Source organism: Homo sapiens, chromosome 6, assembly GCF_000001405.40.
Source record: "Homo sapiens chromosome 6, GRCh38.p14 Primary Assembly".
Lineage (NCBI taxonomy): Eukaryota > Metazoa > Chordata > Mammalia > Primates > Hominidae > Homo > Homo sapiens.
This window is the reverse complement of record NC_000006.12, coordinates 132,740,417-132,768,398: the sequence shown is the minus strand read 5'-3', so window position 1 is coordinate 132,768,398 and position 27,982 is coordinate 132,740,417. Positions and strand designations below refer to the sequence as shown.

At 39.4% G+C, this 27,982-nt stretch overlaps 1 protein-coding gene and 1 pseudogene across 17 annotated transcripts, besides 4 other annotated features; one reads left to right on the top strand and one right to left on the bottom strand.

The window, feature by feature from the left end:
• Nucleotides 34-193: an enhancer, noted in NCBI's record as "active region_25075". NCBI's record gives its function as "activates an Ori minimal core promoter by ATAC-STARR-seq in GM12878 lymphoblastoid cells {active_cell/tissue: GM12878}" and the evidence as "EXISTENCE:reporter gene assay evidence [ECO:0000049][PMID:35858748]".
• On the bottom strand, nucleotides 2,942-3,739 carry RBM11P1 (RNA binding motif protein 11 pseudogene 1; annotated as a pseudogene).
• Nucleotides 4,930-5,029: an enhancer, noted in NCBI's record as "active region_25074". NCBI's record gives its function as "activates an Ori minimal core promoter by ATAC-STARR-seq in GM12878 lymphoblastoid cells {active_cell/tissue: GM12878}" and the evidence as "EXISTENCE:reporter gene assay evidence [ECO:0000049][PMID:35858748]".
• Nucleotides 4,944-24,529, top strand: VNN2 (vanin 2). 17 transcript variants are annotated; one of them, XM_006715593.4, is made up of 9 exons: nucleotides 4,944-5,016; nucleotides 7,596-7,767; nucleotides 10,640-10,728; nucleotides 10,853-10,983; nucleotides 12,364-12,556; nucleotides 15,650-15,938; nucleotides 16,881-17,254; nucleotides 18,534-18,704; nucleotides 23,908-24,529. In XM_006715593.4, the coding sequence occupies exons 3-9, from the start codon at nucleotides 10,675-10,677 to the stop codon at nucleotides 24,097-24,099; spliced, it is 1,404 nt and encodes a 467-aa protein (XP_006715656.1). In that variant the 5' UTR covers nucleotides 4,944-5,016; nucleotides 7,596-7,767; nucleotides 10,640-10,674; the 3' UTR covers nucleotides 24,100-24,529. The 17 variants fall into 17 exon arrangements, 10 of the variants coding, with proteins under 10 accessions (XP_006715656.1, XP_047275434.1, XP_047275437.1 ...); XM_047419478.1 differs by having other exon boundaries at nucleotides 10,497-10,728; XM_047419481.1 differs by having other exon boundaries at nucleotides 4,944-6,284.
• Nucleotides 7,959-8,148: an enhancer, noted in NCBI's record as "active region_25073". NCBI's record gives its function as "activates an Ori minimal core promoter by ATAC-STARR-seq in GM12878 lymphoblastoid cells {active_cell/tissue: GM12878}" and the evidence as "EXISTENCE:reporter gene assay evidence [ECO:0000049][PMID:35858748]".
• Nucleotides 18,425-19,624: an enhancer, noted in NCBI's record as "MED14-independent group 3 enhancer chr6:133069914-133071113 (GRCh37/hg19 assembly coordinates)". NCBI's record gives its function as "activates an origin of replication core promoter dependent on BRD2, BRD4, P300/CBP and CDK7 cofactors, and independent of MED14, by STARR-seq in HCT116 cells {active_cell/tissue: HCT116}" and the evidence as "EXISTENCE:reporter gene assay evidence [ECO:0000049][PMID:35650434]".

Below are 27,982 nucleotides of genomic sequence, written 5' to 3'. Positions count from 1 at the left end.
CTTGAACCTCCAGAGGGCGATCCAATGTCTGAGGAGGACAAATGGCCTGCAATTCCCTTCCCGGAGCAGTGCCAGGACAGAGTGTGACCCTGGCCCCCTGCACCCATGTGGCATGCAGATCTGGGCCTTGATTGCCTTAAGTCATCCTGGCCCCCTCCAGGACTTTTTTGACCTTCATGTCCACCCACGCAAGGACAGCCGCCCTTCCTCAGCCCGGTGGTCTTGGATGCGGCTGAGTGCCTGCAGTCCCTGCCACTGTCACTTGGGGCCACTATTAAAGCATGAGTCTGCAGCTTGCACCTTCCTACCCACTATCTGGGCCAGCCTATTCTGTTACCAGCACAGTTGATTGTTGAGAATTCAAAGTCAACGCAAGGATTCGAGGCTCTCTGGGGAGAGAACTTCCTTCATCCCCATTCCCAACACACGGCTCTCAATACTTCCCTTGGATAGCAGTGTATTTAAAGATGCTATGTACAAAACCAAATTTACTCCTTTCTCATTTTGAAATTTTGCAAGTATTAAGATAAGTGGGCCGGGAGCAGTGGCTCACGCCTGTAACCCCAGTACTTTGGGAGGCTGAGGTGGATGGATCACGAGGCCAAGAGATCAAGACCATCTTGGTGAAACTCCATCTCTACTAAAAATACAAAAGTTAGCTGGGCATGGTGGTGTGCGCCTATAGTCCCAGCTACTTGGGAGGCTTAGGCAGGAGAATTGCTTGAACCCGGGAGAAGGAGGTTGCAGTGAGCCGAAATTGCGCCACTGCACTCCACCCTGGTGACAGAGCAAGACTCCGTCTCAAAAAAAAAAAAAAAAAAAAAAGTCACAGAAAAGTTTAAAAAATATGAGAAAAGACAGAGGAAAGAACACTTTGAACAAGAAAACCAAAAGGTAGGTCAAAACTATCAAAGGAAATCTCTGTGTATGTGTTTGTATTTTTATATATTTATAGTCTTCTAAATGTAACAAGGCTGAGCAGCTTAAAAGAACCTTTTTAATAATGAGAATATTCTATATAACTGAATGTGGAATATGTTAGTAATAAAAGGAATCTTTTATGTTAAGATCATATTGCAACCTATACATTATAATATGATACATAAATCAATCCAAAGGAAAACTAAAAAGGTTAAATACAAATCACAGATCATTTTTAAAAATTAAACTTTAAAAATTTTGAGATAATTGTTAATTCACATGCAGTTGTAAGAAATAATAGAAAAAGATCATGAGTATTCTTTCCCTGGTTTTCACCAATGATAACATCTTGCAGAACTATAGTACAATAGCACAACCAGGATACAGAACATTCCCATCGCCACATTCTTCACGTTGTCTTTTTGTAGCTACACCCACTTCCCTCCCATCTTCACTTCTGGCAGCCACTAATCTCTTCTCCATTTCTATCATCTGGTCATTTCAAGAAACGTATAAATGAAATCGTATTGTATGAAACTTTTTGGATTGGCTTTTTTCAGTCAGCATAATGCCCTTGAGTTCTATTGGCATTGTTGCATGTATCAATAGTTCAGTTCTTTAAATTGCTGAGTAGTATTCCATTGGGTGGCTTTAAGACACAATGGAATACTACTTTATTTGTTACAAATAAAGCAGCTATGAACTTTCAGAAACAGGTTTTTTGTTTGTTTGTTTGTTTGTTTTTGCCAGGGGCGAGGGTAGAGGGTGGGATATGAAGCATAAGACTTCACTTCTCTGGAATAAATGCCCAGCAATACAACTGCTGAGTTGCGTGATAATTGCATGATTAGTTTGTTTTCAACTAACTCATTTATTTTAGATAAGAAACTTGATTTTGACAATAAATATTAAATATCACGCATTAATGAAATATCTGGTCAGCCATGGTGGCTCATGCCTATAATCCCAGCACTTTGGGAGGCCGAGGTGGGCGGATCACCTGAAGTCAGGAGTTCAGGACCAGCCTGGCAAACATGGTGAAACTCCATCTCTACAAAAAAATACAAAAATTAGCCGGGCATGGTAATGCCAGCTACTCAGGAGGCTGAGGCAGGAGAATCGCTTGAACCTGGGAGACGGAGGTTCCAGTGAGTTGAGATCACGCCACTACACTCCAGCCTGGGTGACAGAGCAAGACTCTGTCTCAAAATAAATAAATAAATAAATAAATAAATAAATAAGAAATATCCTATTTACTTATTTGTTTAATGATCAAGATTTAAATACGTCACAGATACCCTCTCTAACCTAGCTGGAAAAGATGTGGATAATAAATTCTTATATAGCCAATCAACTTTCATTAAGTGCAATTAATAATTGAGAAGTATCTCTACACATTCATATCAGAAGGAAATTACCCACAGGGTAGTCCCATGATACTCACCATTTCTTTGGTGTCACTGTCACATGACCCCGTTTTATGAAACAAACCCACAGGAGGGGAGGCTCAGACACAACATATTTACATGGAGAAGCTAAAATGTTATTTAAAGTATTAACAAAGGAAACTAAATTCTGCATAGCCAATCTTCATTAAGAGCAGCTTGCAACTCCTAAATATTTGCAGTAGTTTCTTTCAGAAAACCTACAGCTGGACTTCTAATCCCAGCTTACTTATAGTTGAGTATTACAAGGGACCACCTAGGAAAGCATGATGTCATAACAAATTTTGACTTGTAGCTCAGTGCAATTTTATCATCAGTACTAAAACAATTCAGAGTGTATTTCATGTTGATGATAGGTCAACAATAGCATGCCAGACACAAAAAGCAGTATATTATATCATTTGTTTTTGTCAGTCAAGACAAAAATTGAATACCGAATCAATCAAGTAACATTATTGTATATTTCAAAAATGACAGCCATGAAATCAGTTATTGCATAAATACAGGTAGGTTTTTTTTTCTTTTAAGAGAATTAAAGCCAGTGTAGATAAATCTTTCATCTGAGAATAGTACTAATACCTTTTCTTCTCCCTATATTTTCAGAACTTTTGGCTATGATTATTTCTTCTATTGTTTTCTGTTCTATCACCATGTTTATTGGTCGGCTTTTGTCTCTTTCGTTTTAGTTATCTGATAAAAATGCGAATGGCTTGGTGGTTCGTGTCTTGGTTGTTAGTAAGCTGGGTCCAGCCTGTAGTTCTGGAACACGATTTAGTGAGGGAGACAGGGATGTGAATTAGGAAGTAGGCAATCATCTCATGCAGTAAGACAGCTATGGCATTGGATCGTATGCTTGCTACTGCATCTTCTGGAAAAACAGTATTATTGCAGTAAAGCAACATTATTAATTGGAAAGAACTGCATGGGAAAGGAGGATCTGCCCACAGATTCTTCATTCATATAGCTGTGAGAATTAAGAATTTGTCTTAATAATAAATTTATTAAATTTATCTTTAACATCTTAAATTATCTTAATTTATCTTAAGATCTGCCCACAGCTTCTTCATTCATATAGCTGTAGGAATTTATCATAACACAGCACTGAAAACTTTGGTGAGATGATTCAGAAGAGTGAGAATTTCCAATTGATATTGTGCATGAATTGATCTTTCCATATAAACAAACTCCATTCAGTAGAACTATGGCATACGACTCACATTTTAAGGTGTTTAAAAAATGCAGACAAATGCCAGACTTCCATTTTTCTGTTTTTGCATGTAGTCACTGTGGTTAATGTTTTAGCCTACAAGAAACTGAAGAAACAGCTCATAAAGAATTTCTTCCCCTACTGGAGCCTCTAAATTCCTGTCCTGTCAGCCTTCCCCAGAGGAAGGATAAGCAGGGTAAAGGAGGTGCTATGATCCTGCCCTGCCTCCATGCCTGGCTGCCACCCAGAGAGGGAAAGGAGTAGAGCCATGATTCACTTTTCAGAGAGCTGCCAAGCTGTTTTCTAGAGTGGCTGTACCATCCTACATTCCCAACAGCAATGTGTGAGTAATCCAGTTACACAGCAGGTTGTTTAGCATGTTTTTTAAAAAATAGAATGGTGCATGAAATAGGTGGAGTGAAAGCTTTTTATCAGAAAGAGAATCTGTGGTACAAATGGAGGGAATGCCATCAAGATTAGCAAGTAGAAACAGAATTTAAGTTCATAATTTTAGGAGAAACCATTCAGATCAGGTTGACCTGGAAGAAAGGAAACTTGAAAGACTTTGTGGAGACAGACAGAACAATGCAAACATAAAGAAGTAGACACATTGACATTCTTTTAACAAGACAGTAACCAAGGACAGGTGGTTATGTCACCAAACCCTGGGTAAAAGCTGCCTTGGGCATGGCTCTTGTAATAGGGCCTCCATCTTGTAGGAATGAAGCAATAGTAATAATAGCAAAAATTATTCAGCACGTATCACCATTGTGCAGATAGAGGAAACTGAGGCACAGAGAGGGCACAAAACTTGCTCATAGTCACATAGCTAGGAAGTGGCTCAATCCCAGGCATTCTGGCCCCAGAGTCCATGTCCATGTTAATTATTATTAGATACCACCATGACCCTTATAACTTACAGTGAGAAAAAAGCTCTCCATAACTAGATGCAGGACCATACACAATTTAGTTCTCTCTAATTTGAAGGACAGTCTGGAGTGGGATCTGTCTTACAGTAAAAGAATAATGTGCTAAAGAGAAAGACTATGACATGAATATGAGAGTCGACTTAGGCTTTGTAGGCTAGAGAATCTCCTGATTCTATTGCTGTGGTTCCTCTGCTGAGCTTGGTTCAGTAGAAATTGTGTCAATGCTCCTCGCCTGTGTCATCTGGCCCATACAACTCCTTGAAAGAAAAGCTCAGGAATCAGAATTGCCAGGCTAGAATAAAATAGACACTCTTTCTCCTGGTGTCTGACTGAAGATGCAGCATCCTTGAACCAGCAGCTGCTGGGACTCCTGTCTGTCATCTCAAAGGGTACGGCCCACCCAGAAAGTGAAATCAAAACAGGAAGTCACCAGGGGTGACTGGAGGAGCACAGGCCTTGGAAAGGAAAGCAGCTGAGATCCAGAGGAGTGGAAGGCTCCCCCTTGACTAAAGCTGTAAGTAGTTACCTTGGGCTGCAAACATTATTTTTTCTTTGCTTCCTTGCTCACTGAAAATAAACAAGTGGCATTATTGGTGGATTGCTGTGACATTCTCATATTGATCAATAAGACATAAACTTTTCTATTTTTAATCTATCTTTTTTTTTTTTAAGTCTGCGATTTCCATGATATTTTCTTACCATACCCTTTCAAACGCATGTCTCTCCAACTGCCTACATAAATCAACGAGTGACTTGGATCCAGTTCCTGTGGATTTATTTCTGTGGTGACAGTCATCCCGACTTTACCAAAAGCTTTTAATTCAGTCAAGAGAATTTTTAATTTTTTAAAAGGACCGGCTGGTGAATGCAAGAAACTTTTGGCAGGGTTAATAGACTGGCATAGTGGGTGGACCTATGAGATTAATATTGTTAATATTTTATTTTAAGGAAGCAGGAGCTGTCGGAAAGTAGGGGAGGATGCTACTAACTCAAAGGGACTTCTGCAACTTCAACCCTAAGTTTCTGAGACAGGAAAACAGACATGTTGGTTGAACCATGTGAAATTACTTTTGCTAGGTCAAAAACAGTGATGATTGGCAATTTCATGTTGCACAAGCATTTCCATCTAGCAGTGCTTTCAGAGAATCCAAGGCTGTGATATATCATTACCTTCTCAGATTTGCTCTGGTTTCAGCTGTGTTCATTAGCTATCTGAAGCATTGAACACCCATCCAACTCTAAAGCTGGAAGATTACCTCATCTGAATGAGACCTGGCCCCAAAAGATGGTTAAAGTTCAAGCTGGTTCTTTTCAAGGCAACCTTGCCTTTTACAGGGCCTGACTCAGTCTCACTAAAGCCATATGTAATACTCCAATGGTGTAGAGACAGAAACGTTTTTCTTTGCCATTAAGTACTTTTTTTGGATACAGTATTGTACTTTTTTGGTATACAGTATTAAGAGGAACAGTTTTAACACTGGAGCCTGGCTTTTCTGCCTATTGTTGCTTCTTATTCTTATTTTGACGTGTCACCCTTGCTGCCTGTGAGAATGTCATTGATAATAATACATGATATTTCCCATTCTTTGTTTCTCAGTTCACTTGTCATTTTGCATTCAGGAGAAGGGACAGAACAGGAAGTCCAGTAGCCAGTGTCAGAGCCTGGAGCAGCTCCTCTCCTTCCTGGGGTTGAGTTCCTTGGTTTTCTTGTTTCACCTTTGCTACCCCACTGCAGTTTTTCTACCACGCTGGGTTTAGCACGAATCAGGAGTTGATGCCCAGGTACCCTGTCAACCCCATTTCATTCCAGCAGTTCTTCAGCACGGTCATCCAAATAGACTAGAATTTGAATTGAACAACAGTAGTTCTGTGGGCCTAACAATGAAATAATATTAAGCAGTCAGGATATTATATTACTAAATAGTCACTCACTTTTGTTAATTATTGTCATCTGCGTTGTAGTCTTACAGAGGACTTTCACATATCTTTAGGAGATAGAGCAGGTATGATTACCTAAACTTTTAGATGAGAAATAGAGGTCCAAAGAAGTGGTGCAAAGCAGAAACTACACCCCTATGCTTACTCTTGAGAAAGTGGGAAAAAAATGAGGTTTTTAAAATTAAAGACCTAAAACCTAGTCCAATTGAACATTATTCTAACAGATGATCAGATTCACAATTAGAAACAAATATTTGAGCTATTACTGTTTTTCGTTTATTTGCTTGTTTTTTATTTTTGAGACAGAGTCTCACTCTGTCACGCAGGCTGGAGTGCAATGGTGCTATCTCGGCTCACTGCAACCTCCTCCTCCTGGGTTCAAGCAATTCTCCCGCCTCAGCCTCCTGAGTAGCTGGGATTACAGGCGTCTGCCACCATGCCCAGCTAGTTTTTGTATTTTTAGTAGAGACTGGCTTTCACTATGTCGGCCAGGCTGGGCTCGAACTCCTGACCTCAAATAATTCGCCCGCCTCGGCCTCCCAAAGTGCAGGGATTACAACCATGAGTCACTGCGCCCACCCCAATACTGTTTTTTTTTTTTTTATGGTGACTCTTTGACCAAATAATTTTTAATTGATTTTAACTTTTTACCCCTTTAGCTAAGTTCATTAATCCCAAAATGGCAAATTAGGAAGTAGGCTCTTTTAGCAACGAATTACAATTAATCAATGTTCCCTGTGGCAAAATAACCTTACTTTATTTTATAATTCAGTTAAACTAAAAATTTTAATCTTTACCTGATCAATCATCTTTATGAAAAGTCAACTATTGAAACTGTATGTCCTGAATTTGGTTTTTTACTTCTGAAGATTTAAAACAATATCAATGACCTCTACAGCAAATATTTTCTTCACATCTCAGGGATTTTCCTATATTTAAATTGCTCCTTCATTTACTAACTTCTAATTCTTTTTTGCAATTACCTTTGTTACTCAAATTCTCAGTTTCAATGAGACAATTTTTAGATGCTTCAAATAAAAAAACAAAGGAGGGAATTTAGTCATCTTGATTTTATATCAGAAGTGATTTTCCCTTTCCCTGTTAGCCAAACAAAAAATCCAAAACTCTGATCAACATCATTTCTATCTTTTACAGCCAAGGACAGAGAAAAACATCCAGATTTGGGAACACAATAACAGATATGATTGTCCCCACTTCTACTGCCAAAATTATAAAACTGTTAACTCCTCCTCATCAGCTTACCTGACTACTTAAAAGCAAAAGAGTTAATTAAGTATTACTAATTGGTGATACTAGATCAATGAAGGTAGGTCATGGCCCAAATTGTACTTATGGAGATGGAAGAGCTTAATTGTTTTTATTAGGCATCAACTGCATCAGAAATTTCATTAGCACTTAGCAAATTTGCCTATGGTCTTCTTAAGGTGATCATTTTGAATTGGGTTCTTTAAAAGACATGAATGACTGGCTGCAGTGACTGACACCTATAATCTCAGCACTTTCAGAAGCCAAGGTGGGTGGATTGCTTGAGCTCGGGAGTTTGAAACAAGCCTGGGCAACATGGTGAAACTTCCTCTCTACAAAAAATAACAAAAATTAGCCTGACATGTTGGTGCGTACCTGGTGTTCCAGCTACTAGCGAGGCTGAGGTGGAAGGATCACTTGAGCCTGGGAGGTGGAGGCTGAAGTGAGCCATGATCATACCACTGCACTCCAGCCTGAGCAATAGAGCAAGACTCTGTCTCAAAACAAAAAAACAAAAAACAAAAAAACCCCAAAAGACACGAGTGTTCAGACACTCAGTTGCAGACATTAAAAGAGAGCACAGACACATGTGCTGTTTTAGGTATAAAGGAAAGACTCTGGAATCAGGAATGAGAAGCGAACATCCTGCTCTGTCGCTCTAGCTCTCTATGCCTCAGATTCCTATCCTGTAATAAGTGGGCATTTGGGTTACATGATTTCTAAACTCTAACAGCACTCATAATCTATTATATACCAATCACCTATGCTAATTTACTAATTATACACTAGATAGTATGGTTATATACTAACAGTCTATTATACAATCTGCTAAAAATTCATAAAAATATCTATCCCTTTACATTTTCCACAAAAGGGCTTGACCATTTTTCCTGAATTATTTTTAGTTTTCTGCTCTATAGAGATAAGAAAAGTTATTCCTTTAATAGAAACTTCTATTCAAAGCAGAAAATATGAGCAGATCTTATTTATAGCCCCTAGGCCCCATTCTTAACAAAACATTTATCTCAGTAAGAAGGAAAGCACAGAATAAACTTTGTTTAATCGTACCTACTCTTCTATGCTGTCTAAAAGCATTTCCGTGACTTTTACCAAAGGGCTGGATAAAAATAAAACAAATCCTTTATTTGGCAGGATTGGGCCTGGGGAAGGGAGAATATGAATGTCCTAAGAAGGCATCTGAGATCACATCCTGTATTTGTTGTTATTATTGTTTTTTTTTTTTTTTTTTTTTTTGAGACGGAGTTTCGCTCTGTCGCCCAGCCTGGAGCGCAATGGTGTGATCTCAGCTCACTGCAGCCTCTGCCTCCTGGGTTCCAGCGATTCTCCTGCCTCAGCCTCCCGAGTAGCTGGGATTACAGGCGCCCACCACCACGACCAGCTACTTTTTGTGTTTTTGGTAGAGATGGGGGGTTCCACTATGTTGGCCAGGCTGGTCTTGAACTCCTGACCTCAGGTGATCTGCCTGCCTCGGCCTCCCAAAGTGCTAGGATTACAGGCATGAGCCACTGCACCTGGCCTGTTAGCATTGTTTTTAAACTCATTGTTGTTATTTGCTGCTAACAAAAATGTAAGTTACATCTTCTCCTTATTACAACACAGATGATCTTTATCACCAATCCTGGACTCTTCCCCTTCCCTGGCATCTTCCTCCAAAGCAGGGGGTGGGGAGGGAGGAAAAAGAAGGAGGAGAAGGAGTAGGAGGAGAAGGAGAAGTAGGGGGAGGATGGGGAGGGAAGGGTGAAAGAGAGAAAGAAGGAAAGAAGCGGAGTATCCTGAGGCCTGGGGCCCCTGAGCTGAGATTCCTCCTCTGGCCTAGGTGCCTCGGGGTATTGTTGCTGTAGGCACTAACTATACAGCAGTGAACAAACCAGACACAAAATCCTGCTTTTCTGGAGCACATGTTTTCAGTCCTTAATAGCAATAAGTAAGTCAGAGTGTAGATTTGGGTAAATTTTGTTATCAATATTGTCCTGTGTTACATTTTCTTAGTAGTAAGTATTTAATATTTTCCCCCCCGTCTAAAAATAAACACAATGTAAGTGACTCAACAGAACCAAAAAAATTGTTGTCAATTTTTAAATTTAATAAATGAGATATTTGTTGGGATGTGATTTTTTTACACGAGAGTTAGTTATGAGTTTCTATTAACAAAAGCTGGAATTGTTCTATATTTGAATTCGGGTGTCTTTTGGAAATTCAATATTAAATCTTAGTACTAATAGTACATGCTGTTCAATCCCTGTAATACTTTCTGATTGTCTTAAATGGACTGCAACTTTTCTTTCTTTAAAAGTGGTCAGATATATTGCGTTCTTAAGATTATAAAGTAGGCCAAGTGCAGTGGCTCACGCCTGTAATCCCAGCACTTTGAGAGGCTGAGGTGGATGGATCACAAGATCAGGAGTTTGAGACCAGCCTGGCCAATATTGTGAAACCCCATCTCTACTAAAAATACAAAAATTAGCTGGACGTGGTGGCGCGCACCTGTAGTCCTAGCTGTTTCAGAGACTGAAGAAGGACAATCGCTTGAACCTGGGAGGTGGAAGTTGTAGTGAGCTGAGCTTGCGCCACTGCATTCCAGCCTGGGTGACAGAGCAAACTCCGCCTCAAAAAAAAAAAAAAAAAAAAAAAAGAAGAAGAAGAAGAAGAAGAAGAAGAAGAAGAAGAAGAAAAATGATGATAAAGTAAAAGGCCAGTAACTGGCAGCCACATGTTATGCAAACATTCTCCCCTCTGTAAATACTACATGAATGTTATTTTTGCTTTCAGAAATCACTAAACCTTGGCCATGGTCACTTCCTCTTTTCCAATCTCTGTGGCAGTTTTTGCCCTAATAACCCTGCAGGTTGGTACTCAGGACAGTTTTATAGCTGCAGTGTATGAACATGCTGTCATTTTGCCAAATAAAACAGAAACACCAGTTTCTCAGGAGGATGCCTTGAATCTCATGAACGAGAATATAGACATTCTGGAGACAGCGATCAAGCAGGCAGCTGAGCAGGTATTCTCTTATTTCTGTTAATCATAATGTACACGAGGGGCATGGGAGCTGGTGGAAGACGAGAGAGCTGAATTGTCTGTGTTGTACATGGAAAAATCATTTTTATTTTGCTTGTTTTGAACAGGGTGCTCGAATCATTGTGACTCCAGAAGATGCACTTTATGGATGGAAATTTACCAGGGAAACTGTTTTCCCTTATCTGGAGGATATCCCAGACCCTCAGGTGAACTGGATTCCGTGTCAAGACCCCCACAGGTATTTTAACTATCTTAGTCTTTTGTGCAAAAGTAACTCTCTAAAATGCGCACGTTCACCAAAGCAAAATGATTGCTCTTGAATTACCATATATGTGGTATATGTTATGGTTATATTTATCTCAACATTTGTCAGATTTTAAAAAATTGTACTTAGATACTATTTAACAATCTTTTGTGATTGAAAATCTTTATTAAATTTTGAGAAAATGTGTAAATAGGGTATTCCTGCAAGAAAAACTAAGGGAAGAGATCTCATAGATACAAGTAGTAACTTAATTTCTGAAGTAGACAGTGGATTGTGTTAGGAATACATTCCAAAGCCTCTGCTGAAGGGACACCCTTTCAATGTTATAGAGTCTCTCCATTCCAGAGTTGCTTCTTAGGCAGAAAGACTTCACCATGTATTTTCAAGTGAATCATAAGACCTTATGCTTTGAAACTGCATTTTCCTAGGCTCACAAATCTAATTTTCCTGGGAAAAGGTTATCTAGAAACCTTCTAATATATATTAAAAATCTGGGTCCTACTGTCATCCTGGAGGTGTCAACGTGGCAGTTGCATGGACAAGTCTGGCATGAAAAGACAAAATTATATCTGGAGATAGAAAATCAAATGTCAGCATATAGATGGTGTTAAACACCATGATGAGTTCACCTGTGGAGTGAGTTAGAGAAGAGTTTAGGTATAAGGCTTGAGCACTAGGAAATTCTAGTGTTTAGACTCGGAAGAAAACGAGGAATCAGCAGAAGAGTCGAAGAAGAGCAACCAATAAATAGGAAAATGAGAGGGTGGGTCCAATAGAGAAGTGAGGTGTTTCCAGAAGGAGGTGTAATTAACTGTGCCAACTGCTGTTGAAAAGTTAAGATGAGATCAGGTAAAATGTGGGGGTCACTGCTGGCATTAGTAAGAGTTTGGGTGATAGAGATACAAGTTGGAGTGCTCTGAAAGGGAATGGGAGAGGAGGAACTGGCAACAGCAAGAGGGACTGATCTTTTGAGGAGTTTTGCTTTAAGAGAGAGATGAGGATTAAAGCAATATTTGGAAGGGCATGTTTGGAAAGGTCAAAAGAGGTTTTAATTTTATTTTTTAAAGATGGGAGGTACTAGAGGATATTTCATTGCTGATGGGATGTTTCAGTAGAGAGGAGACCCTTGATGAGGCAGGAGACCGAATAATGAATTTCTGGAGCAATAGATACCGTGTGGGAAGCATTCATCAAGTGTATAATCATCTGTGGCTTTTAAAGTATGATATTTTTAGGCATAGTTTTTGTATTAACTTAAGTTCCACTTAAGTGGTTACAGTTGCTATCGTTTCCATATAAAGTGACTAAAATATTTTTTTAAAATTGAAATTTCTTAATTATAATTTGGTTTAGATTTGGTCACACACCAGTACAAGCAAGACTCAGCTGCCTGGCCAAGGACAACTCTATCTATGTCTTGGCAAATTTGGGGGACAAAAAGCCATGTAATTCCCGTGACTCCACATGTCCTCCTAATGGCTACTTTCAATACAATACCAATGTGGTGTATAATACAGAAGGAAAACTCGTGGCACGTTACCATAAGGTAAGAGAGAGTGACGGACGTGTAAAATGGAGCGTGTTGTGAGTGGTCAATGCTGGGTTTAGGAGTTTGAATTTCATTCCCTATATGATACAATATTACTAGAGGGTTTTTTTGTTTTGTTTTGTTTTTTGTTTTTTGAAAGTGGGCAATAAAGAAAATGACACTTTTGGCTGGGCGTGGAGGCTTATGCCTGTAAGCCCAGCACTTTGGGAGGCTGAGGCAGGTGGATCACTTGAGGCCAGGAATTTGAGACCAGTCTGGCCAACATTGTGAAACCCCGTCTCTACTAAAAAATACAAAAATTAGCGGGGCGTGATGGCACATGCCTGTAGTCCCAGCTATGTGGGAGCTGAAGCAGGAGACTTGCTTGAACCCAGGAGGTGGAGGCTGCAGTGAGCCGAGATTGTGTCACTGCACTCCAGCCTGGGTGACAGAGGGAGACTCTCAAAAAAAAAAAAAGAAAAAAAAGAAAAAGAAAAAAGAAAATGACACGTTGTAAAAAACTACTCAGAAAAACATGTAGGCAGAGAACTGTTAAAAAAAAAAAAAAGTAGCATGATGGTCCAGGATTGAGATAAACTTTTTGCACATATAAAACAAATAATTTTAACATAAAAAAAGATACTAAGGTGACTATAATCTGGGCACTGTTTCAATAATTTTATATTTTTTTAGAGACAGGGTCTCACTGTTGCCCAGGCTGGAGTGCAGTGGAGCCATCATGGCTCACTGTTAACCTCAAACTCCTGGGCTCTAGTGATCCTCCTGCCTCAGCCTCCCAAGTAGCTGAGACTGTAGGCATGTGCCACCATGCTAATTTTTAAATATTTTTTTGGAAACAGAGTCTCACTACATTGCCCAGGCTGTCTTTGAACTCTTCACCTCAAGCAGTCCTCCCACCTTGGCCTCCCAAAATGCTGAGATTAGAGGCATGAGCCACTGAGCACAGCCATAATCTAAATACTATTTAATATTGAAATGGTAGAAAGATGTTTCAAAATTGTATGAATCAGCTTTGCATAAGTTAATTTGCTATCAAACCACAAAATACCTTATTTTCTACACCAGCTAATTTAATTACCATCTTATAGATTTAAGATCAAACCATAAAATGTTTACTTTAAATTCTGAATTGAAAAAAGGAATCAAATAACCTTTAAGTCATAATTTTATACTAAACTAGGTAGAGAAAGAAGCCTGGCCTTTTAAATGGATATGTGTGATGTACAGGCAGTATGAATGTCCCTTCTCCACACCCAGATATTTTGTAAGCATCTTAAACTGTAGCCTCAGAATCTTTGGAGTGGAGAAATTATCTCCTGGCAGTCTCAGTTAAAATATAAATATTAATTAAGAGGAGGGATGTTAAACCAATGGTTTTCAAATGATTTCGATCATGGACCCCTATTGGAAAAAATCGTTAACATAAGTCCTCAATATATGTATTTTTGTGTGTGTATTTATAAAGTGCAACAATTTCAAAATGCTTTCTTCATAATTTTGTGGATTTTGACAGCTTCTTTTCATATATATCACTGCATTTCACTTTCTTCTTAAAATGTGTCTCATAGTAAAAATAGAAAGGTCAGTGCTTCCATTTTCTTGCTTGGGAGATTGTTTGCATTATTTGTATTATCTTTCAATGCAGTTTATTTGCAGTAATCATTTGAAGCTATTCTGCCATTCTGTAAATATGCAGGATGGCACAGTGCACTGAATGTGGACAAACTAGCAAGGAACCTGCAGTCACCCTGTCTAAGTTGAAAGGCTCTCACTCTTCCCTGAGGGTACCTCAGGGACCGTTTGTAACCCATGACCTCTGACATATGTGAACCTAATGAGAATACCTTTGTCGATCAATTCCTTTTTTTTTTTTTTTTTTTTTTTTTTTAGGCAGAGTCTGGCTCTGTCATCCCGGCTGGAGTGCAATGGCACGATCTCAGCTCACTGCAACCTCTGACTCCCAGGTTCAACCCATTCTCCTGCCTCAGCCTCCTGAGTAGCTGGGATTACAGGTGCATACCACCACACCCGGCTAATTTTTGGATTTTTTAGTAGAGATGGGGTTTCTCCATGTTGGCCAGGCTGGTCTTGAGCTCCTGGCCTCAAGTTATCTGCCTGCCTTGGCCTCCCAAAGTGCTTGGATTACAGGCATGAGCCACCTTGCCTGGCCTGTCAATTCTTAAAATAGTAGTAAAGCCCAATTTCTTTTCTATTTTTTAGATATTTTTTCTACACTGCAGACCATTTTATTAACTGTTGATTCCATTTATTATATTAGACTAAGTTTTTTTTTAGTTTACCTAGAAGGAATCGGGAAATTAAATACATTTCTATGGTAATTTTGAAAGGTGGGCAAGAGTCACTGAGATTACTTTGGATGGGACACTAAAGAGAGAGATGACATCTCTCACCTGACTTACAGGTATTTATTATGCATCTATTAATATTACGTTTCTAGGCACCAAGGATTCAAAGAAGAATAATGCATGTTTTTTAACTTTTAAGAAGCTTATAGGGCCAGGTGCTGTGGTTCATTCCTGTAATCCCAGCACTTTGGGAGGCCCAGGTGGGTGGATCATGAGGTCAGGAGATTGAGATCATCCTGGCTGACACGGTGAAACCCCGACTCTACTAAAAATACGAAAAAATTAGCCGGGCATAGTGGCACGTGCCTGTAATCCCAGCTACTCGCTTGAACTCAGGAGGTGGAGATTGCAGTGAGCCGAAATCATGCCACTGCACTCCAGCCTGGGTGATAGAGCGAGGCTCCGTCTCAGAAAAATAAAATTAAATTAAATTTAAAAAAAGCTTACGGACTTTGGGGTTTATGGGGGGGTATTTGGCTCTTAACTGAGAGAGAGGGAAAGAGAGAGAAGGGAGAGAGAGGAGATGAGAGATGCTATGGACGTATGTTACATATTCCTCCACATTTTCCTTAGAAATTTACTTCCAATTGCCAGATTTATCCGCTTCCTAGGAGATTCCCTGCAGTTGACCATAGCCAAATCTGTTACCAACTTAGAGGGTTTTTATGAGTCATTTCTTCAACAAATAAGGTTTTACTGGTTTTCTCCTATCCATTTGTTGTAGTACCACCTGTACTCTGAGCCTCAGTTTAATGTCCCTGAAAAGCCGGAGTTGGTGACTTTCAACACCGCATTTGGAAGGTTTGGCATTTTCACGTGCTTTGATATATTCTTCTATGATCCTGGTGTTACCCTGGTGAAAGATTTCCATGTGGACACCATACTGTTTCCCACAGCTTGGATGAACGTTTTGCCCCTTTTGACAGCTATTGAATTCCATTCAGCTTGGGCAATGGGAATGGGAGTTAATCTTCTTGTGGCCAACACACATCATGTCAGCCTAAATATGACAGGTAATTCATGACCAGGTTAGGTTTCATCTTATATTTTTAAGTGCAGAGAAATGAATGCCTCAGTTATGACTTGTATTAATTTTTTGCTTATTGGAAATTCTTACTGTGTTTGTCATAGTTTCACAATAGAAAAAAAAAGCTAGCACTTGATTATAAGCTATGGTTATACTAAGACCTTTATGTGTATTATTCATTTAATTATTACAATAATTATATGAGATAGATAGTGTCATCCCAATTTTGCAGATGAGAAAATTGACATACAGAGAGTGCAAGTAATTTGCCAAATGCTACCCAGCTACTACTTTCCTCAGTGGCCATGGAAGCCTCTATATCTTGCCCTTTGTCTCCTCCTATGGCTGCATGGCATATCCTCGTGACATGGCTGCTGTCTTCCTCTAGAGCAATTAATGAGAGGGGACAAGAGAGAAAAGGAAAGAAGCCACATTGCTATTTATGACTAGTTACCCACCATCACTTCTGCCATGTTCTATTCATTGGAAGTGAGTCACTAAGTCCAGCCCCTCTTCAAGGGGAAAGGAATTAGATCCTCCCACCAGAAAGAAGAATTTTAAGGAATTTTTGGATATATTTGAAAACCACCACAATGAGGAATAGGGGAGAATTTTTATTCCCTTTCCCCACCTTTCAGGAACTCCTGACTACAAAGATTTTTGTAGTTGGTTTAATTTTCCATAATGCTAATAAATAATGCTATTATATTTAAGGTTTAATTGAAATGAGACCAAGGAATGTTTATTTTAATCTCTTCCATTAGAGAATAGAAGTAGTTAGGTGTTCAGTGCAATTAGAAGCATGTATCCTCTCTCATCGTGACTAATATGGTGGCGTGATCACATGCCCAATTCTGATGGGGAAATTGGCAGTTTTGGTTTTTTTGTGTGTGGTGTTGTTTTTAGAAGACTTGTCTTTCATTCACAGGAAGTGGTATTTATGCACCAAATGGTCCCAAAGTGTATCATTATGACATGAAGACAGAGTTGGGAAAACTTCTCCTTTCAGAGGTGGATTCACATCCCCTATCCTCGCTTGCCTACCCAACAGCTGTTAATTGGAATGCCTACGCCACCACCATCAAACCATTTCCAGTACAGAAAAACACTTTCAGGGGATTTATTTCCAGGGATGGGTTCAACTTCACAGAACTTTTTGAAAATGCAGGAAACCTTACAGTCTGTCAAAAGGAGCTTTGCTGTCATTTAAGCTACAGAATGTTACAAAAAGAAGAGAATGAAGTATACGTTCTAGGAGCTTTTACAGGATTACATGGCCGAAGGAGAAGAGAGTACTGGCAGGTAATTTCAGTTCAAATGAAAGGGCATTCAAGTGAAAGGTAAATTCCAGGTTAACTTTTTATATTTGTTCCAGAAAACCAGGTGCTTTTCCTTGGCTTGACTCCATGCATTGATGGCAACACACACACACACAACACACACACACACACGTGCATTTATGCACGTACATACACTGGGATAAAATATTTACAATGGGAATTAAGTATAATCTTATTGCTTGCTTTAAGCATATTTAAAAAATTATTAACCTAACCATGATGAGTTTCGATTTGACTAATAAACCAGCCTACTGTGGAGAACATCAAGAAGACTTCCTTAAGTGGGTTTGCCAACATATCTAAATTATAAACAGTCTTATTTTCACTTGCAAAACTAACAGTAAATAGAGATACTACTTTTATTTTAGTTTCTCTTCTAATCAGATGTCCCGGGTTTTGTATAGCTTTCTTTTTCTTTTCTTTTCTTTTTCTTTTTTTTTTTTTTGAGACAATTTCACTCTGTCACCCTGGCTAGAGTGCAGTAGCATGATCTCGGCTCACTACAACCTCTGCCTCCCAGGTTCAAGCGATTCTCATGCCTCAGCCTCCTGAGTAGCTGGGACTACAGGCATGTGCCACCACACCTGGAAAAATATATATATATATATACACATATACAAAATATTTTTAGTAGAGACAGGGTTTCACCATGTTGGCCAGGCTGGTCTCCAACTCCTCACCTCTGCTGATCCGACTGCCTCGGCCTCCCAAATTGCTGGGATAACATGTGTGAACCACCACACCTGGCCTTGTATTGCTTTCAAATGACAAATTTTAAAGATGAAACTTTTTATAGAATGTTGGCTCTGAATTTGTATTTTCCTATTATACTCCATGTCCCACTGCCTTCTTCTAAAGAAAAGGATTGGGAAGAGAGGTGAGATTAAAGGGTGGAAAAAATTTTAATATCCTTTCAGCTTCAGTACTCTTCAGTACTATTGTTGCCCAAAGATCTCCACTTCATTGAGCTCGATGCCATCATCTGACATACCAAACTAATGGTTTAACTCTAATTCTAAACTGACTTCTTTCTCTTAATCCGCTTGTTATTTAGGAAGTGGGTTGATTCTCAAGTCACTGGCCATTTTTAATAAAGCAGTTAATTATAAGACACATGATCCAAATCCCTTTTCAGAGAAAGATAATGTTTGCTTCGCTGTAGTTAAAAACTAAGGCAACATTTCTGGTATGAGTAACTTCAATGTAAGGCATTGCGTTTTATCTGCGTTTGTTCCACATAGGTCTGCACACTGCTGAAGTGCAAAACTACTAATTTGACAACTTGTGGACGGCCAGTAGAAACTGCTTCTACAAGATTTGAAATGTTCTCCCTCAGTGGCACATTTGGAACAGAGTATGTTTTTCCTGAAGTGCTACTTACCGAAATTCATCTGTCACCTGGAAAATTTGAGGTAAGAGGACTTTTATAAGAGTATTTTCATTTTATATGTTCTCTGAAGTCAAGTAAAACAAGCTATAGCCACTCTGCCAGTTAACTTCTGCTGTGTAACAAATTTCCTCAAAACCATTTCTTTAGCCCTGGTTCTGTGGGTTGGCAATTTGAACTTGGGGTAGGTAGGCTGTTTTTCTGGTCTGAGATAGGCTCAGTTGACGTTGGCTGGGCTCATTGTGTCTGCCATTGGCTAGTGGGTTGATTAGGACTGACCAGTTTGTGATTGCCTTGTCCTGGACAGCTGGGATTATTAAGGCCATCTCTCCCCGTGGTCTCTCATCTTTCAGCAAACCTGAGCTTGTTCACATGTTAGCTGAATGAGTCCAGGAGCATCAAGAGAAAAACAAATCTTTGCAAGTTCTTTGCAAATCTCTGCTTGCACCGTGTTTGCAAATGTTGCATCAACACAGGAAGTTACATGAGCAGTGGTGATTCAAATGGTAGAGAAATGAAGAACTCAGACCTCTCAATGGGAAGAGCTATAAAATCACACGGCAAAAGGACATGGGTCAAGGAGGGGAAAATATTGTGATCATTTTTTCAATTTATAACAACTAATTATAAAATGATGATACTTCATTGGAAGAACATAATAAAGAACATACCTAGAACTGTGAGTCTGAGATACCATTCATTGAAGAATGTTTGTTTATAGATTTTTAATTTCCTTTTGTCACTAGTGAAGACAAACAGAAAATCAGATGTTTATTTCACATTTTTTTTTAAACAGAGTCTTGCTCTGTCACCCAGGTTAGAGTGCAGTGGCATGATCATAGCTCACTGAAGCCTCAAACTCCTGGGCTCAAGCAATCCTCCTGCCTCAGCCTCCTGAGTAGCTAGGATTTAAAGGCATGTGCCACTGCACCCAGCATTTGTTCATAAATTACAGTGGCTGTAGCTAATTAATTCACAAATTAAGCTGGCTTCAAATTAGAATTATGACTCTGCAGGCTTATATCTGCTAATATACAACACTTGCACACATGCACATACACGCATACATACACATATTCCAGTGGTTTGAATATTAATGTCTTCTCTGAATTGTGGCAAACAGTGGCAGGGTTTCAGTAACTAGGGTGAAATCATTGCATATTCTATAAAATAGGGTCCAAGTTAATTCAATCAAGGCATCAAGTAAGGAAGTCTTTAAAATTGCAGATTGCTTATGGTCATGTATCTGTATCTGCTGTGTTATCAGAGTGGAATATATCATACTTATAAAAATGCTTAATTCTATGAAACCAACAATTTAACATACAGTGTAACCTTAAGGCCATAAAATCCAAAGATCAGGAATGCTTTGCTGCCATAGAACCTGTTTAGGCAGAATCTCATGAGCAAATTGAGGCTGGAATAAAAGCTGAAGTGCCAACTACAGAAAATCATGATTAAATCTACAGCAAGGAGTCTGGGGCTAAAATCCAGTAGCTAAAAGGTGGCTGGACTGACATAAATATCTATCTGAGATCACTTCAAGGAAGTGAGAGAGAGAAATCAGGGTCACCAAGGTAAACTTAGGAGGACATAGGGTCTAGCCATATTGATGCATTATATTCTGTAAGCCTGAAGATTTAAACTGAGCACACAATCTAATTTTCTCGTACTACTTTGCCACTTTTTCCATGTCTTGTACTCATAGAAATCTATCTCTTTGAGGAATTGTCCCATAGTAGGACTGAACATTTACCTGATGAAACTACTTCATCCATGGGAGAAGGACAAAAAAATGCTAGAGTTTTCCAAACTAGGTTAAAGGTCCAAAGCCAGAAATACCATTTCACTCTTACTCTGAACCACATAAGTGTTTGAAGGTGGATGGTGATAGTGCATGAAGAGTTGGAGAACGTAAATAATTTATTCCATTACTACTTCCTTTCTTTGTTTTAAAAATTTCATCCCAAATGTCTTCAGGCAGTTAAGAAGAGTTAGAGAATGATACAAGAGAATACATGTTTAAATGCTTAACTCCATAGTATTTGTACATCTCAACTCTTAAACATTTTTTTAAATTATTTTTAATTATTATTATTATTTGAGATGGCGTCTCGCTGTGTTGCCCAGACTGGAGTGCAGTGGTGCAATCTCAGCTCACTGCAAACTCTGCCTCTTGGGTTCAAGCGATTCTCCTGCCTCAGCCTCATAAGTAGCTGGGACTACAGGTGCATGCCACCACGCCCAGCTACTTTTTGTATTTTTGGTGGAGATGGGGTTTCACCATATTGGCCAGGCTGGTCTCGAACTCCTAACATCTAGTGATCTGCCACCTCGACCTCCCAAAGTTCTGGAATTACAGGCATGAGCCACCATGCCTGGCCTTGTTTTTAATTTTTGTGGGTACATAGTAGGTGTATATATTTATGGGTTACAGGAGATATTTTGATACAGACATGCAATGTGTAATAATCACATTAGGGTAAATATGGTATCAGTAGGTCTCAACTTTTAATGATTCTGTGAACTTGTCATGCTGTATCCCATCTCTGGTTCCTTCTTAGATGGAAGGAAGGAGGGAAGGGGGCATAGCACCTACCGTTTAAATTGGGCACCTGTAATCATTATTTGGATCTTGTCTTACCTGCTCCAGACCATTTGCAGAAGAAGGAAATGAGATATAGATTGTATTACACCAAAAAAGATATGAAAGAGCCATGTGACAGCTGGCAGGGAGGGTCTTTGGAATTGTAGTCCCTTGGAGGGAGCATCATGATGAGGGTGAGGCAGGTCTTTATTTTGTAAGTGTAGATTCTCTGTGGCATGACTTTCACTGAAGTTCATCAGGTTCTAAGGAACAGATACTAATCAAATTTGCAAGATAGATAAGCGAGAACACCAACTTGTTATTTTAAAAAATAGGTTCCCTTAGCTGGGAACAATGAACTGTATGTCAAGGAGACTCTTCATTGGCAAATCCTCTCAAAAGTACAAATGATAGATCAGTTTGTTTTGTGAGTGCAGAATTAAAACAAAAGGAGTTGGGCATTCTTGGAAAAGATTTCCAAGAACCCACAGAAGCCTGAGGCAATGTGATTCTTCTCTTTAGGGCTGGTGATCTGAAGACCATGTAGGATCAAGGTGCCCACTTTCCTCAAAAAGAGCCAAAAAAAAGTCCAATAACCCATTCTTGGTTTTTTTAGTGCTTCTTTTCTCTAGAGACCTTGCAGGGCATGGCCCTTCTGTGAATATGTTGTTTCTAGAAACAGCAGTCATAATATTGAAGATGACAAATGTTTTACATCAGTCATGCTCATTATGGCTTCTTGAGTAGCTTCTCAGTTCTGTTGATGGATGCACACTCTCTCCATAGATATTTACACGTTATCTTAGAGGATCACTATTGCAGAGATTTCAACACACTTGTTGTGTATCCTCAACCCCCACCACCACTTTAGTTTTATGTTAAAAGGGTGGTGTTACTCACCATGCCCACAAATGTGGAAACATCTTGCTTTAGCACCTTAGGCAACTCTGGTGTATTGTCAGAAGCACTGGCAGAGTCTGTTCTCTGTAACTAACTAGTTAGATAACCTTGGGAAAGTCACTTAACCTCTGAATTTCCTACTCATAGAAGAGAATATTTTCCTCACTGATTTGGTGAGGATCAAATATGATAATGCATGTGAAGACACTTTGTGAATGGTGAAGTACAATCATTATCTTCTAGGATATTTAGTCATTTTCTCCTCCCAGTTGTAAAGCATCTGTTTTCCTAATTTTCAATTTCTTCTCCACTCCAACTAATTTCCCAATTTTCAATTTCTTCTCCATTCCAACTCCATTTCCACAACTAATGGGTTCATTTTCTTTTATTCTTGTTCTGTTTATTGACTGTCTATGCATGTTTCCTTCTGTTCTTGTTCAATTGCTTTGTACATATTCCTCTCTTATGAAAACTCCACTGTGGCTTCAGGCTAGATCTAGTCATTAATGCCTTTCACAGTCTGATCTCCACCTTCCTCTGATCATATTCCTTCTTCTCTTCTTCACTAATCTTCAGCGCTAGCCAGTGGTGTGATGTAACTTTAAACAATTCCTTCTCTGAGGTAGAAAACAAAAAGCCCTGACTTATGGAATTTGCCAGTTTTCATTGTGTCAATATTCCCGCCATGATCCCACCAGCTTCAAGAATGGATCTGTTGGCAGAGTTTGATAGCTCACGCCTGTAATCCCAGCACTTTGGGAGGCTGAGTTGGGAGGACCATTTGAGGCCAGGAGTTCGAGAACAGCCTGGGCAACATGGTGAAGCCCTGTCTCTACTAAAAATACAAAAATTAGCTGGGCTTGGTGGCACGCCCCTGTAATCCCAGCTACTGGGGAGCTTGAGGCAGGAGAATCACTTGAACCCAGCAGGCGGAGGTTGCAGTGAGCCAAGATCATGCCACTGCACTCCAGCCTGGGTGACAGAGCGAGACTCCATCTCAAAAAAGGGGGAAAAAAAGAATGGCTGTGTTTAACAGCCAGCTGTCCAATTTCCTGGAAATTTAACAATCTGTTCTCATGAGCCTGTGCACCACTAGCTCCAGCACACCACTGGTTTTAACCAATCTAGAATGAGAACTCACATTGCCTTGATCTGTCACACACACTTCTGTCTCAGAATGAGCCTTTGCTGGTTCAATGTCCACTTCCCACAATGTCTTCCACCATACAGCCCTTGAAAGAAATTCCTAACAGCTTGAGTTTTTGGCAGCTTGTGTCCCACTCCGTGAAACAGACCAGTTCAGTTTTTTTTTTCTCAGACCTCCTAGCACTTACCTGTTCTCTTCTCTGATACACTGATAAACTGATTTCTCTCTTTATGTTTAGAATCCGCTCCATTTCACCATTAGCTCTTTAGCTTCTTGAGGGAAGGATGTGATGTATAACTCTCTGGTTCCTGATTGTCTTGCACATAATCGAACTCAATGAATTGCTGCTGCTGATTTTGACTTTCCATTAATGGTTACATTTGATTGTTGAAACTAAAATCTTGGGCCCTCTTGAATTGCTCTAGTCTTCATTATGTAGTAAATGGCTGTCCCCTGCCTGGCCTACTTGCTGCATCCTCCTAAATCAGAAATGATTTGACTATACATTATATCTAGGATGGTTTCAAAATGATTAATTTGCTTTTAACTTCTATGTTAAGAAAGCTGACTGTACTTTTCCCACCTTTTCTTTAGGTGCTGAAAGATGGGCGTTTGGTAAACAAGAATGGATCATCTGGGCCTATACTAACAGTGTCACTCTTTGGGAGGTGGTACACAAAGGACTCACTTTACAGCTCATGTGGGACCAGCAATTCAGCAATAACTTACCTGCTAATATTCATATTATTAATGATCATAGCTTTGCAAAATATTGTAATGTTATAGGGCGTCTCTTTATCACTCAGCTTCTGCATCATATGCTTGGCTGAATGTGTTTATCGGCTTCCCAAGTTTACTAAGAAACTTTGAAGGGCTATTTCAGTAGTATAGACCAGTGAGTCCTAAATATTTTTTCTCATCAATAATTATTTTTTAAGTATTATGATAATGTTGTCCATTTTTTTGGCTACTCTGAAATGTTGCAGTGTGGAACAATGGAAAGAGCCTGGGTGTTTGGGTCAGATAAATGAAGATCAAACTCCAGCTCCAGCCTCATTTGCTTGAGACTTTGTGTGTATGGGGGACTTGTATGTATGGGAGTGAGGAGTTTCAGGGCCATTGCAAACATAGCTGTGCCCTTGAAGAGAATAGTAATGATGGGAATTTAGAGGTTTATGACTGAATTCCCTTTGACATTAAAGACTATTTGAATTCACCTAGTTTTCTGTGCTAATGTTTATCAGGAGATTTACTTTCCAATCAAAAGGCAATGTCGACATTTATTTCTACAGTGAACGTAGTTTTGAGTGCTAGAAGAATTGATGGCTATTCCAAGTTCATATCAAAGGAGACCTGACCCAGGGCACTCATAGCCCCAGCTGTCCCACCTTAAGGCTATGGCGTAATTTAACAGGCAGAAATCTCATAACACAAAGACCATGACAGTTAAAAGTTACACTATTTTCAGCATTTGGTTGACTTTTTACAAAATACACATATTCCATGCTACTTGAAGTAAACTAGTATATTTGTTATTGATCATTTAATTCAGATACTCTTAAAATTAAAGAACTGATTTTGAATTTTCAGATTTATTTTCTGATTTTTATCTCCCAAAGTATTTTTAAATTCAATACTTTTACATAAAAAAACACAATTGAAGCATTTATCTTTTGTTTTTACATATTGTCATAAACCTACTTATGGATTTGATTTTAAAATTCTACTAAAATACACTAGAAAAGTAAGATTCCTTTTATAATCTCGTGGTTAGTATTAAGAGAAGAAATATGGAAGTTAAGCCACACTTTGTATTTAATTTTGAGAAGAGCATACATATTCCCTATGTTCAGCATTGGGACATCAAAGATGGCAATTTTAAAGCTGTAATGAACGTGCATTTGTGTATATAGTCCAAATCATATAATCATCAAAGTTTTATGCTCTTTTTTCTTTTTCTTTTTCTTTTTTTTTTTTTGAGACAGAGTCTCACTCTGTCACCCAAGCTGGAGTGCAATGGTGGGAGTTCAGCTCATTGCAACCTCCGCCTCCTGGGTTCAAGTGCTTCTCCTGCCTCAACCTCCCAAGTAGCTGGAATTACAGGCACCCACCACCATGCCCGGCTAATTTTTGTATTTTTAGTAGAGATGGAGTTTCGCCATGTTGGCCAGGCTGGTCTCGAACTCCTGACCAGGTGATCCACCCACTTTGGCCTCCCGATGTGCTGGGATTACAGGCATGAGCCACCATGCCTGGCTTCTTTTTCCTTTTCATAAAGTATGGGACATTTAAAATTTGCCAAGTTTTGCTTGAGGAAGTTAGATGTTGTGCAGTGGTTTTGCAGCATGTATTTTGGCTCTTGGGCAATGACGTTTCATTTGCAGAAGTTTAGATGTTGATTGAAAATCAACAGCTGACGTTAAACAAACTGGTTTGAGTAAGATACAAGCAAGGAGCTCCTTTCACAGAAAGGGACAGTTCTGATTCAAGCTTGGAGCTCTCAGCTGTACCTCAGTTTGTTAAAAATAAAAACAAAAAACGAAAGCACCAAGTGCCAAGGAAATTAAAGAGCACTTAATGCTCTACTGTAAAATTGCCTGCACCACATTTTAACCCATCTCCACCGTGGTTTCTCACATACATTTTATTTTATCAAACAACCCAAGCATAGTTTCATTTGGCCTTTATATTTCTTTGATAACTATCTTTCATCCCATTTTATTTTATTTTTACTTATTTATTTATTTATTTTTTGAGATAGAGTCTCGCTCTGTTGCCCAGGCCGGAGTGCAGTGGTGCGATCTCGGCTCACTTCAAGCTCCGCCTCCCAGGTTCACGCCATTCTCCTGCCTCAGCCTCCTGAGTAGCTGGGACTACAGGCGCCCGCCACCACGCCTGGCTAATTTTTGTATTTTTAGTAGAGACGGGGTTTCACCATGTTAGCCAGGATGGTCTCGAACTCCTGACCTCATGATCCGCCCACCTCGGCCTCCCAAAGTGCTGGAATTACAGGCGTGAGCCACCGCGCCCGGCCTCATCCCATTCTAAAATTTCATGTTAGTTCTTGAGTCCCTTGTGGTTCTGGAGATAGTAAACAAAGCTCTTATTTTCTCCTATTTGGCTTTCATTAGGCTTTTTTCCTGAAATGCTCTTTTACAACTTCCTGGTTACAGCCCCCTGTATTACAAAGTCACATGCTCAGCAGCAGCCTTCTCTCAGGGCTCACTACCTAGCCTTCCTTCATTCATTCAGGAAGCATTGATCACTTACTATATCCCAAGCACTAAGTACTGAGACAGTGGTCTATGCATTCTCTTTGCTCCCTTTGCCACTCTGTGACATTGCCCCCTTTGATATGATCTATTTCCATAATTTCTATGATATGCTCACAACCTGCTTTGCAACTACACTGCCCCTACTTTCTACTTTCTTTGCATTTTGACCTGTCCTCATAGTGTTGGCTCATTGCTCTGTACAGGTGATTTCTGTCAGCATTCTTTCTGTTTTGGCCTCTTTCCTAAATTCTTTTTACATTTCTAACTCCATTCTGACCATCATTCCAAGATAGTCCATGGGTGATAATGTTCTAAAAGATATCTGAGGCTGGATGCCTGCTTAGGTCAATATGGTTATTATACCCACACCCACACTCACATGCTTACACTGAGCCACACGCAGCTACTTCCAATGAAAGCATTCCTGAGAAGACATTTGGACAAAGAAACAGGGACAACTGTGAAGAGGATTTCTTGAGTATGTAAATAAGACAGAAAGTACTTGGAATGGGAAAGAAAACATGCCTGTAATCCTGGTACTTTGGGAAGCTGAGGAAGGAGGATTGCTTGAGCTCAGGAGTTCAAGACCAGCCTGAGCAACATGGTAAAACCCTGTCTGTACCAAAAATACAAAAAGCCAGCCAGGTGTGGTGGTGTGTGTCTGTGTTCTCAGCTACTCGGGAGGCTGAAGTGGGAGGATCACTTGAGCCTCTGAGGTCAAGACTGCAGTGAGCTGTGATCACGCCGCTACACTCCAGCCTGGACAAAAGAGCAAGATCTTGTGTCCAAAAAAAAAAAAAAAAATCAACGATTTATTTGAGAATTTCTAGACCACGTGAAGCTAAGTCAAAGGAGAAAAATAATGAGAGTGAACTGACTAATTTCAATTTACCTGTCTTCAAGAATTCTGTGACATCTTATATTGTTTGAATATGGATTGAACAACCCTGCTAAAAGCTTTGATCAGTTATGTTATAAACCTTTGCTTCCCTGTTCTGTTTCATTTTGCATTTCAGAAATTAATTTTAAAAATACTGCACATCTACTACCATCTGATCTTTGACAAACTGGACAAAAACAAGCAATGGGGAAAGTATTCCCTATTTAATAAATGGTGCTGGGAAAACTGGCTAGCCACAGGCAGAAAATGGAAACTGGACCCCTTCCTTACACCTTATACAAAAATTAACTGAAGATGGATTAACGACTTAGATGTAAAACCCAAAACTATAAAAACCTTAGAAGAAAATCTAGACAATATCATTCAGGACATAGGCACAAACAAAGATTTCATGACAAAAACACCAAAAGCAATTGCAACAAAAGCAAAAAATGACAAGTGGAATCTAATTAAACTGAAGAGCTTCTGCACAGCAAATGAAACTATCATCAGA

Excerpts from the sequence above, each read along its gene's own strand:
- VNN2 (XM_047419477.1), top strand. The coding sequence starts at position 10,516 with ATGGTCACTTCCTCTTTTCCAATCTCTGTGGCAGTTTTTGCCCTAATA. Across the intron at positions 17,255-18,533 it reads GGAGAAGAGAGTACTGGCAG|GTCTGCACACTGCTGAAGTG; the intron begins GTAATTTCAGTT and ends TGTTCCACATAG. Across the intron at positions 18,705-23,907 it reads TGTCACCTGGAAAATTTGAG|GTGCTGAAAGATGGGCGTTT; the intron begins GTAAGAGGACTT and ends CCTTTTCTTTAG.